This window comes from Homo sapiens, chromosome 11 (genome assembly GCF_000001405.40).
Source record: "Homo sapiens chromosome 11, GRCh38.p14 Primary Assembly".
Taxonomy (NCBI): Eukaryota; Metazoa; Chordata; class Mammalia; order Primates; family Hominidae; genus Homo; species Homo sapiens.
Window position 1 is genome coordinate 105,610,694 of NC_000011.10, and position 12,944 is coordinate 105,623,637.

General features: G+C 33.4%; 1 protein-coding gene across 26 annotated transcripts in view, besides 1 other annotated feature; it reads left to right on the forward strand.

Moving 5' to 3' along the window:
* Nucleotides 1–12,944, forward strand: part of GRIA4 (glutamate ionotropic receptor AMPA type subunit 4) — a 372,097-nt gene that overhangs the window by 700 nt on the left and 358,453 nt on the right. For 13 of the 26 annotated variants that reach the window (NM_001440383.1, NM_001440386.1, NM_001440395.1 and 10 more), the window contains exons 2-3: nt 215–392; nt 1,583–1,741. In NM_001440383.1, the coding sequence (NP_001427312.1) occupies nt 305–392; nt 1,583–1,741 (247 nt within the window). In that variant the 5' untranslated portion in view covers nt 215–304. Of the gene's footprint in view, nt 1–12; nt 393–1,582; nt 1,742–12,944 lie in introns of those variants that run through there. The other 13 variants (NR_046356.2, NM_001440391.1, NM_001440385.1 and 10 more) reach the window with 2 other exon arrangements.
* Nucleotides 356–556: a silencer, noted in NCBI's record as "peak1445 fragment used in MPRA reporter construct". NCBI's record gives its function as "represses an SCP1 promoter by STARR-seq MPRAs in K562 erythroleukemia cells {active_cell/tissue: K562}" and the evidence as "EXISTENCE:reporter gene assay evidence [ECO:0000049][PMID:32103011]".

Here is a 12,944-nt window from a genome sequence, read left to right on the forward strand (position 1 = left end):
CGCTCCACCACCATCTTTTGCATGTGCAACATTTGCAGCCGGACAGAAAACCTCTCCCAGGGCTATGGAGACTGCGGGAAAAATCTGGCGGCTCGCGATGGATTGCTAAGGAGAACTAGTCATAATCTTAAACCACCGAAACCTCTTTCCTTTTTTTTCTTTCTTTTCTTTCTTTTCTTTTTTTTTTTTTTTTTTTGGTTGATTTTAATTTTAGCGCCATCGTCTTCAATGCTTCTCTGAACAGCCTTTAGGAAGAGTGCGAGAGAAAGAGAGAGAGCGCGCGCCAGGGAGAGGAGAAAAGAAGATGAGGATTATTTCCAGACAGATTGTCTTGTTATTTTCTGGATTTTGGGGACTCGCCATGGGAGCCTTTCCGAGCAGCGTGCAAATAGGTAAGGTGTGCTCCGATGGGGTGTGCATGTGGCTGGTTGTAGCAGATATCCGAAAGTGAGTTAAATGAGTTGCTGATAAGCAATTCAGGGAAACCTTCAGCAGTTCCCTTCCCCTCTGTTTCCCTCCTCTTCCTTTCTCTCCTTTGCAAAAAGACTTCCTCTTTAGTGCAGGTTCCGTTGGAATACACCCAGGGCAGCCCACCCATGCGTTCTCAGCCCATAGCCCTATTTCCACCTTTACCTATAGTCGCTTAAGTAGGATTGAAATAAGTTGGGGGAAAGTCTTCGGGGAATTTGGTTGTATTTTATATGATATTTATTTCCATCCCTTTCTCTAAAGCATAAAGTGATGTCGAGTTTGTTTAAAAAAGAAAAAAAAAATCCACTTCTTCCCATTCTGGACGCCGCAGCTTTCTTGCTATTACAGAAAGACACTGTTTGAGGAAAAAGACATTTCCACCCGCACGCCCTGCCGTTTCTTGCTACCAGTTAGCAGATTCCAAAGTTAGATCCCTTTCCTGGAAGCTTCTCCCCTTTTATTTTGTTTTCTTCTTGAAGCTTTTGCCCTTATTTCTCTACCTCGACTCTGTTTCCAGGGACACCCTCCATCCTTGGCTTTTCTTGCTATTCTCCTCTACTGTCTTTTAATGGGACGCAGCTATTGAATTTCTTCCAGCTAAGCCCAGCCTCAACACTGCATCATTTCTCGTGGACTGTGCATAAAACGGAGTTAATTAGGCTGAGTCCACGAGCTGGAGGAAAATAAAGTTCATTTCTTCTTTCTGATTTCCCTCTTCCCTGTGTGGCACTATATCCCTTCATTTCCGTATTTTAATGTAAATCTCTTTTCCGCTCATCTGCATGCATCTTAGAGAGAGCTGCCCTGAGGTGGCTGATGTAGCAGTGTGCTGGGAATCAGGGGGAGGGCAAGGGAGAGAAAGGAACATTCACTAAATGGTCTCAGAGGTCATTGTGAGCAAGACACATTAGGACAAGAAAAAGCTGAGCTGCTCTAAAGACTAAATACTAAGCATGCACCTTAGGGACAAAGGGCAGTCTCCCTAGATGTGGCAGGTATAGCTCTTTAATTGTATGTGCTTGTGAATGGCAGTAGATTTGACTGTGCTTGGGGTGGGTATAATGTTGACAAGAGGAAACAGTGAATGTGCTTTTCCTGCTGTTTTTAATAGGTGGTCTCTTCATCCGAAACACAGATCAGGAATACACTGCTTTTCGATTAGCAATTTTTCTTCATAACACCAGCCCCAATGCGTCGGAAGCTCCTTTTAATTTGGTACCTCATGTGGACAACATTGAGACAGCCAACAGTTTTGCTGTAACAAACGCCTGTAAGTAAAACATAAGCTATGAAAAATTAGAAGAGAACTGAAACCAAGCAATGGAGTCCTCTTCCTCTTTGTTATTTAATTTTTTTAGAAAGAATTTCAAGATTCCCACAGTTGCCTGGTTTCAGGACAAATCAGAGTTAAAAACAAGACTTCGTTTCAGGGATATTTAGTTGTTTTTTTTTTCTTTTCCTTAATTTATTTTTCTTTTCTTTCTTCTCCTCCCTCTCTTTGCTTCTTCCTGACTTTCTCTTTTATTCATTATCTGTCTAGATCATTCAAGTTAAATTTTCCTTTAACATTTTAGTGTTATTCCTATCATCCGAATGTCAATTTAGTGAAAATTGTACTCAAGCTAGTTTTTTATTCTTTTCCTTTGGTTTTTCTTATTTGCTTTTCACTTGAGTAAGCATAGGTCTTGCTTTTAAAGAAGAAACATGAAGACTATGGAAGGCTTGCTAATAGTGAGAAAAAGAGGGGAGTGGTGGTGTGGAGGATATATATTTGAGTCGGTTGGTTGACGCTGCAGATGATCTGGTGATGTCACTTGAGGCTGCCCTGCCCTTATATTCTGGGGTGTAAATGTCTCTTACTATCACATAATGCATATATCCTGTGGATATAACTCCATGAATCCTTACCTCGATGCCAAATCACATTAGGCTCCCATCCACCTGAATTCACCAACCAACCCAGCTTTATCTATTATTCCACACAATGAAACTAAACGGGTGACCTCACCTAATGCCGTAAGAAAGCAGTTGTACAATTCCTCCCACTCTCACCAGGACACTGTATAACTTAATGTAAAAAAAAAATACAATCAACTGTGCATGTTAGTTTAAAACACATTGAAACATGATCAGTCAATAGCAGTTGTATTGCTTTTTCCTTCTGGAAGGAAGTGCATGTTTCAAATACCTCCTCACATTTATATGCTAATTTACCACTGTTTTAAATTCATAAATTCAGATAATGACTATAGATTATTTAAGAAGTAGGAATAGTTTCTACATACAATTTTGCATGTTTTCACAGTTAATAAAATGTTCAAGCTGAATTGTAAAGCCTTTTTGTCATATCAAGCTGGGAACATTTTTATTTAAAATTCTTTCAGTACAAGAAAGTGTGCTGAACAAAGAAACAAGTGAAATTGAAAACAGAGTTTTTAAATTTGTCTGGAGGACATCTGTTTCATCAACTTAAATTATTTAATTTGTATGTGTTGGCTGTTAATTCATATAGCAGATAACATGATAAAATTTTCTTAATTTTTGGTGTCTCTTTAACCGTTAATTCTTTTTAGAACTTAGTTTCATGAGGAGCTTGAAGCATATGTCACTTTTGCAAAGTGAATAATTATATTATTTTTCAGGAAGGCTATAGGTTCTATGAGTTACTACTTAATTTTTAAAAATCTCTTGACATATTTGGTGATAAAATCAATATTGCATTAAAGCAAAAGGGTGTTATTTTTATTCAGAAGTGCACATAAATTAGAACAAGGTTTGTGGGTAGTCCTTTTTGTAAAATTTCTCAGTTAATAGTTTTATGTTCCAAGTTTTAAAAGGGATGTCAGCATTCTAAGTAGTTCTAAGGAAAGCATTCTTTTTAATACGTAAATATTATTTGTTTATTTAAATATTTTTCTCATGTCTCTCCTAAGATTCTGTCAATCTTACTACTTTTAAAAATAATCTATGATCCAAATACATGTGAAGGTACTTTATCAATAGTAATTATTTTAACATATTAATTATTATTATTAAATTTTGAAAGATTTCCTTACAAGTGGCAGATATATGTTTTATTTTGTTTCATTTTTACAAAGTAAGATCTTAAATATTCTAAAGTTTGTATTGTGACTTCCAGTAATGTAAACTATATGAGGCTAATCCTCTTTTCCTCCTTTTTGTTTGTTAACCTCATTTGGGATAACTGTAACTAGTATTATTTTATTTATGTAATAAAAATATATGTGAAATAAAGTGTTACTGGTAAAGTACTTGTAAACATGATAAATATTAGCAAGTTGCATACAGAATTAAAAAGTAGAAAAAAATATGAAACGTAGAGTATGTTATTCCTTAACATATAAGGATTGAGAAAATTGACACGAGTAAACTTTAAGTCTGTTTATTTAGAATCCAAGAATAATACAGTATTAGTGATCTAATATTTGTTATAATCACATACAATTGATTTTGCGTATGTTTAAAAATTTTTTAAGAAAACAAATTGTAAATAAGGAGAGAACATTTTCTAGCAGAGAAAAGGAAAGTTATTTTGACAAATGAGCATGCTGAAAATCCTTAAGGCAAATCTAAGCAGAATTTGGGAAAAAATCAATAGTCAAGAGTGTGGGTCAGGTGATTGGTGTTTGTTGAATGGACTGACCGAGAGCATACAGACTCGTGATTTTCCAATCTAATTAAAGGTAAAACGTAAGCAGTAAATATAAGGCAACCTCATTTATCAAGCTCTATGCCTTTGAGTACAAAAGGGTAAAAATAGGTCTTGAAATTTAATATTCTAGATAATTAACATGAAACTTATTCCTCACCATGATACGGACTGGATTTTTAAATTTGTCATGTTAGATTAAATATAAAGACATAATATGTGGCTGGTTAAGTTTATTTTAGTCATGATTTTTCTACAGTGGCTCCTTGTAAAACTGGAGGATCTGATCTGTCTGTGAATAAGGGCCATTAAACAGTATATGTTTAATTATTTTGTGGAATGTATACTCAAAAAAAACACAAAGAATAAAGCGTGTTAGTTATCTAGGGTACAGCTTATTTAATGCTGGTTCATCTGCCTCAAAACTAAATTAGTGCTCTAAGAATACTATGGTAACATAAACTATTCTGTGTATAGAGTTTACATGCTCATAAGTCTAAACCTGATTAACTTAAACTTATAATTTTTGGTATAAATCCCACATTCCTGAGGAAGGAACAATTTTGGCTTATAGTTTATTCCAACCATTCTATTGTTGGAAAGTCACACTTTGATGAATATTAAACTAAAATTATATGAAATACAGATAATACAAAATTATGACCTATTACAATAACAAAAAAAGTGAGTGTAATAGCCCTTGTAGTCAAATTTCAAAATGTAATTACAAGTATACATTTTTTTGTGAGGTATCCAAAATATGAAGTATGACGGAATGGACATTTAAAAAATAAATTTAATATAGGCAACTTTCTTTAATTAAAATGTCATATTGTTGTATCACAGGTAGATAACAGAATAGTTATCTTTGCAAACAAAAATGCTAGTTTAATTGGATATGTCCATCACAAAACATTTGAGATAACCCAAAAGCTGGCTGTTTTCTCATATTTTTTCAATAGTTAATGGATAGAGATATTTTGATTTGGAGGATGAGATATGTTCAGTTTGACCAAGAGTAATAACAAAAATACTAAATTAGTCCATCTCCAAATTTTGCAAAAGATAAATATATTTTAGTCATTTTGATTGTTAGTTTAATTCAGCTACATTAGAAATCCTGTAAAAGAATCAGCCCTTTAAAAAGGCAGTCCCTGTCCAATATAATCCATAAATATTCAGATTCTGAAATGAGTCATTTAAATCTCAGATGGCAATAAGAAGTACTAATAGAATGGATCAAGTACTCATGTATTATCGTCTTGGTGAAATAATAATAGAATTTTATAGACTGTTTAAAACTTTTTAAACTTTGATAGAAAGGACTAATTGATTAATATTTTTCTTATTTTAAAGTGATTTTTTTATCTTGTTCTCTTTTTCTAGCTAGAATCATTTTATTCAATTGTTTACAAGATAATGGATTGAAAAGCTGTAAAAATCACAAATAGAATCAATATTATGCCCTAGTAATGATGAAAAAGTTTCTTTTTTAAGTTAAATATTAATTCTGTGTGGCTGATTTATTTGTGGACTCTAAGTATCCAAAATGAGCAGTACTTTACAAAGTACTTGTAAAAGTATACGTAAAATAGAGTTGTTTAGTTAATTTAAATACATTGAAAATATGACACTAAACCTAGTAGGCTCTGCAGGATTTTCCACTTATAAAGTAGGTACTTAATAAAAACTCACTGAATTTAAGTGTACTAAATAATATAATATTTTTTTGTTTAATTCAACTATGTTTAAATATTTTTGCACGTTTTCTTTTCCAGGATCATGAAGCCCTAAAAAGGCATTCTAAGAGTTTACACTGGACTAATATAATAATCTTAAACATGCTAAAGATAAAATTCTGATGATTTGACTTGCAAAGTTGTTAGTAAAGAAATACTAGAATTAAATACTATTTGACTTTTGCCTATATTTAGGAAAATGAGTGATGTGACTCAACTGTGACTCTCATTAGCTTTTCTTATTTTGAATTGGTAGCAAGCTTCTAAGTTGATTTCAGATAATTCTTTAGTTTTATATTTTTTCTCTCTTACCTTAATTTTTCATCCTGAGATTGAGAAAGATATGAGTCATATTCTTATAGTTTTTCTCTTTCTTAAGTGATAGGATGATGCATAATTTGTATATATTTGATGTATTTTAGAGTTGTCGTAGGATTAAGCTTTCATAAAGCTGTCAAAAAAACTCCTAATTTTTTTTCAATCTGGAAAGTGTTATTTTTCAAGGAGGAAATATTTTACATCCTGGCATTGGGAAATATATATATATACATATGATTATATATATAAAATCTTATTAGAGCAATATTATTATTCTGGATTTTAAAATGAAGGATAAATAATAATACACCTTACACTTTATGACAACCATATATTTTTTAAAACTATATATGTGTGTGTGTATATATATTTATATATCTTTTCATATATATATATGATTTTATTTAACCTCAAGCTAATCTTACAGTGAGACAGTCTAAAAAGAAAGTAATTATGTTCTAGATAAGACAGCTTCGGTACAAAGGAGTTACTTTACTTTCTTCCAAAGACTATCTAGTAATAGACTACAAAGCCAGAGCTTGAACTAATTCTTATACCTACTATCCTAGTGCTTTTACCGGAAGGCCATAAGGGTGTGAAAAAGATAACATCTATATTGAGCCTGCCTGAATTAAGAAAGAAAAAGGAATTGCCATTTATCATTTCTCTAATTTAATTGCAAAATTTTGAAGAAAACAGGGCAAGACAGTTCTGGGCAACTTATTCATGAATCATATGACAGTGAATGATACAGCAAAGGCTGAAGTCATATTATGTAATGAAGCCATTCATTCATTCATTAGATAAGATAATGAATTATCCATTTACTCATCAAACATGTTTATCAAGAGCAACTCTATTCAAGACATTATGCTAGCAGCTGGCAACACAAAAACTTATAAGAGTAGTTGCTGACCTTAAGGAGCTGATAGCCCAGTGGGAAAGAGAGACAAGTCAGTGATTACGGTAATGATTACAGTACAATGTGGTAAAGTGCTATGACAGAGAAACATTGCTAGGAGAGAGATGGACACGGAAATGGGAAGGATAATTACATCAAACTTGGCATGGCATCCTAAGGATGATATTGCCTGATCTGGGTGTTAAGATCTAGTCGAGTCATTTGAAAAAGAACAAGGAAGGAGAGCATGCCTCGTCAAAGGAGTAGTGCACGAGGAGACACCAAGTTGTGGGACAGCCAAGTGTCTTTGAGCCATTGAACATGGATTAGTCTGGTAATAGTATTGAATGTGAGGAGGGGAGTTGTGCTAAGGGGTGAGACTTTGTAGATCTCAGAGGTTATGTAGCTATGGTCAGGACACTCTTCTGAATACAAAGAGGGACCCATAAATGATTGGAACACAATAATGACATTAGCAAACTTATGTTTTATAAAGAACAGGCTAGGTTGCAAAAGGGAGAATCAATTGGAAGAGGACAAAATAGGTACAAAAGACCAGTTGACTGAGTCTTAAAGTAATACGATTTACAATGATGGCTGCTGAGTTAAAAGTGGAAGCATGGAGGAGAGAGAAAAGCACATAGATCCAACGCAGAATTTTTGATGGAACTTAGTGATTGGTTGGATGTCTGTGTGGGAGGGTGCAGGGGAAGTGTGGTAAAAATAAAAGATGTTTTTTCAGCCTTCTGGCTTGGGCAAATGTTTAGATAGTGAGTAAAGAAGCAACACACAGAAGGAGCAGATCTGAGTGGGGAGGGTGACTATACAATGGACTTACTGATTTTGAGGTGTTAAAAATACATCCAAAGGGGGCTGTGCAATAGAGATTTGGACATGTGTGTCTGGAGCTTTTGGGTTCAGTCTGAGCTGAAGACAGATGATCAGTGAGCCTTGGAGACTTGGAAGTGAATGAGATCACCCAGAGAGAGCAGAAGCAGTGCCAAGAGTGCTGAAAGTCAAACCCTAGGAAGAACCAATGTTTGAGGGGAAGAGAGAGGAAACAGGTAAAACAAAGAAAGCTGAGGAGAAGGGGTCACAGAATTCAGAGGAAAATGAGGCAAGAGTAATTTCATAGAAGCCAAAAGATAGGGAACCTGTCAAGTAAACAGTGTTCAACCTCGTTGACAACTGCAGAGTTTAAAGAAAGAATTGCAAGGATAACTGTAATATCTTCAACATAGGTTTTTCCTTTTCTTTTCAGAATGTTCTTTTGTATATGACCAGAAAAAAAAAAAGCAACCCCATAGAGATTCTAATACATAGGTTTTTGGATATATTGGCCTAGAATGTTCTTCTTTCACTTAGAGATATGGAGAGATAATCTCCTCTGGAGTTTTGAGCCAGATGAGTTTGAATTGGCAGCCTGATAGTGGGCAAGTTACGTAACACTTCTGAGTCTCGATTTCCTAGTCTGTTAACACAGATAAATCACATATATCACACATAAATTTTATGAATATTAGAAAATAATTTGGAAAATATTCCACATGTAGTTAAAAATCAGTTATTATATCTGCATTTCATTTTCTGTGTCATATGGAAATTGTATGTCTGAGCCAATTTTAATATTTCAAGTTATTTATATTTTAAATTTATATTTTTAAAAGGCATTTTAAATAGATTTTTTGATATTTCGTAGAAAATTTTTTGACTTCTCACTGAATTGTTAATTTTAAATCACGTACAGAAGTCTAAAGCCATATTTGTCAAAATTATTTTTAAGTCTTAAGAGAGGGTAAATTTATCTAAGATCTTTGGGCCATTCAGAGAGAGGATTGTTTCACTGATAGATTAAAGGAGGTCAATGAATTCTCCTAATTTTATGCAAAATTGTGTGTACTTGTGCACAGTGTGTGTGTGTTTACAGAGACACAATCAAACTTTTGAACAGCTTCTCAATGAGTTCCAGTCACAAAAAAGGCCCAGTACTTCAGCCCTAAAGGAGCCACACATAAATTAGATGAACAAACAGCTCTTCATTCCCTATCTTCATCATTTTAGAAGCAGAATAGATTTTAGCCTTGAAACTAACCAGGAATTTTTTTTAATGAAATCCATCTCTACTACCTTCTTCCTTAACATAGAAAATAATCAGTGTGTCTAAGCTGGAAAACCCCTTGGCTTTGTCCTCTGCCTCTCGCATTGTCATCCTATAATTTTTATTTATTCTCTTACTATCCAAAGTGTTACATATTCTACATCAGCTCTTTCTATTTTCATCACCATTTACTTTTCCCTACCATCACCACTCCTGGAACACTGTGTTCTTGAAGGTCATCAGTGACTTACAAATTAGTAAATCCAATTGTTATTTCTTATGCCTCGTTTTCTCAGAATAGTTTGCAGGATTTGACATTGCTGACAACTCCTTGTTCTTTGAAACTCATTCCTCCTCTTGTAATAATAATAACTACTATAATGGAGTACTGTGTGCCAGATTTTGTGATCTCAATTTTTACAAAACTCAGAAGTAGGCATTATTATTATTTTATAGGTGAAGAACCTGAAGATTTGCATAGCTTAGAAAATTTGTCTAAGACCTCAAAGTATCCAGGGCATCTGAATTTAAAGTCAGTTTTCTTAGCCAATACAGGATTTGCCTGCCATTCATACCACAGCATCTTGATCAATACAGTATTGACAAAATACCCAACATTCAGTGTGACTGTCGCCGGTTAACCTTTAATTCTGATTTCAAGATGTTTTTCTTAAAGTTACCTCTGTCACAACTTTTACTTACCCCAACAAATATGGACATATTGATTTTTCTATGTGGTTTGTAACGCAGCACAAAAATTTCAGAATCCAAAACTGTAACACTCCCATTACTTTATATTGCCAAATTCATGTCATAAACACAACCAAGTGTAAAAACGACTAAATGACTCTTTTAACTGTTATGTAAACAGTGTTGGATGCTTCATTAGTTGGCCAGTCTACATATTTTTATAGAAAAATTATTTGATTTCAGGATAACTGCAGATATTCAAAACTATTTTCCAGAATGCTTCATTTAAATATTTACTGAGCTATCAAGTATTTTCTTTCCATTTTTTGGGGGGGGTCATATTTTTGGATTTCAAATAAATAGGGTGATGACTGTCCTAAAGAACACCATGCTATCTCAAAATTGCTCATTTTTAGAGCATCATCAGGTGCCTCCGACTTAAGAAAACTGTTGATATTGTCAATAAAAAGTTTAATGTTATGTTAGAAATAAAAGATAAAAAATATTTGAGATGTATTCCTTCTTTCAATAAGCCACTGTTTTTCCAGAAATAGCAGAAATTATACTATAAGCTATAATCACTATTTGCTTATTTTTGTTGCTGATATGTTTATTCCAAAATGAGCAGACTTTAAATATATTATGCCCTGTGATTTTCCCATTTTTTATATTTTTATCTTAAAACTCACACATACTTGTAAAAATTTCAAATACTTCAGAAATCTTAAAAAGTTAGAATATTCCTTAATCACAACACTTGGAGCTAATCAGACTAAACAGTTTGCTAGGGATCTTTCCAGACTTTTTTTTTTTCTGTATAGACCTAGAGAAACAGATATTACTCTAAACATAAGCTTCTAATATGTATCTAGAAATAAAAGTATTTAATAAGATAATATTTTATAGCTATATCTTATTAATGGTTTATTTCTGTTAATCATAAAAGGTATTCTTTTGGTATTTAAGAACTGCTTCATTTTCTTATACTGCTGCATAACATGCCATTGCATGAAGTTTCTATGATTAATGTATTCAATCTCCTCGGGATCAATATTTAGATTATTTCCAGGTCTTTGATATTACAAACTAAACAACAGTAAAACTTCTTGTACCTGAGTGACTATTCCTGCAAGATCAGTTCCTGGAGGTAAAATTGCTATATCAAATAATTAAGATTTATGCTTTTAATGAATATTATCATATATTTTCAAAATTTATTTAAATTTACAACAACCAGCATGTGAGAATAATTTTTTTCTATGACTTGCCAACAGTGACGATTATCAGTTTTTTGAATCTTTACTTGTCCTGAAGGGTGAGGATGATTTCTCATTGCTGCTTTAATTTACACATTTTTGGTTAATTGAGAGGCTTAAGACAATTTTATTTATCAGATCTGTGTACTTCTTTCTCTGTTTTTTTCCTTTACAAATGTTTTCTTTCTCGGTTGTGAGAGTGTTTTACATACTATAGAAATTAACCCTTTGTCATATACGTTGCAAATTATTTTTCCACTTTCCCTTTGGCTTCCAGATTCATTGATGATGTCTTTGGCCACACAAACATTTAAAATTTTTGTTTAGTCAAACTTGTGACTCATTTTCTTTATGGCTTCAGGGTGTTGTGTTAGCATAAAAAAGGCATTCCTAGCCTTACAACTATAGAAATATTATTCTACATTTTTTCTAGCATTTTTATAATTTTTAATTTTATATTTGTAACACTAACTCTTCTGGAATTTATTTTCTTACATTAGAAACTGATCTTTGTGAGGTTTTCTTGTGTTATTTATTTGCATAAGCTGCTCTTTTAAAAGTGCTTTGAACTGCTACATTTGTGCAAAACTGATGCTCTTTTTTGACTGAATTTGAGCTTGGACAGAAATTCTGCTGTTTATCTTCTGAAGTTCTCCTATTTGTCGTTCTTCACTTATTTACCCCTTTCTGATAGTCTTGCTTCTTCTATTATTTCCTTTTTTTTTCTTTCTTCTGATTGTCACTCACCACCTGACCAAATCCCCATGCCTCTACCTCCAAAGTACATCACATTTTCACTTTCTCCATCTCTATTTCACCCTCCTTGTCCAAATCAATGGTTTTATTTTAATTTTTTTACTTATATAAATTTATGAGGTAGAAATGCAATTTTGTTACATGTATAGATTGTGTAGTGATGAAGTCAGGGCATTTAGAGTATGCTTTACCTGAATAACGTGCATTGCACTCATTAAGTAATTTATCATCATCCACCCTCCTCTAACCCCCCCATTATTCAGAGTCTACAATGTCTATTAGTCCAAACTCAGTTGTCCATGAGTACACATTGCTTAGCTCCCACTTATAAATAAGCACATGTAATATTTGATTTTTCTGTGTCTGACTTGTTTCACTTAAAATAATGGCCTCTAGTTCCATCTGTGTTGCTGAAAACAACACAATTTCATTCTTTTTTATGGCCAAGTAGTATTCCATTGTATATATATATATATATATATATATATATATATATATACCATATTTTCCTTATCCAGTCCTCCAGTGATGGACACTTAGATTGATTCAATGATGTTGCTGTTGTGAATAGCTCTGTGATAAACATACAAGTGCAGGTACCTTGATAATGATTTATTTTCCTGTGTATAGATACCCAGTAGTGGGATTGCTGGATCAAAGGGTAGTACTATTTTTAGTTCTCAGACTGAAAGTTGTGCTAATTTGCATTCCCAATTGGCACTACTTTAATAATTTCATAATTAATTTCCTGCTTCTGCTTTTTACCTTTCTCCATCTACTTAACATATTTGAGCCGGGGGTACCCTTCTGAATTTATAAATCAGAGACTGTTTCTTTTGTACCTAGAACCCTCCAATGACTTTTCATTGCTTTAGAATAAAATTCCAACTCTTTACCATGGCCCTGCATGAACTGACTCTTGCCTGCTTCTTTGTCTTGTTCACCATTCTGGGGTCCACTCTGGTCTTCTTTCGTCTATGCCCTTGTACCTGCCATTCCCTTTTATTGGACTCCTCCAATACAGTTATTTGCCTAACTAGAGTTT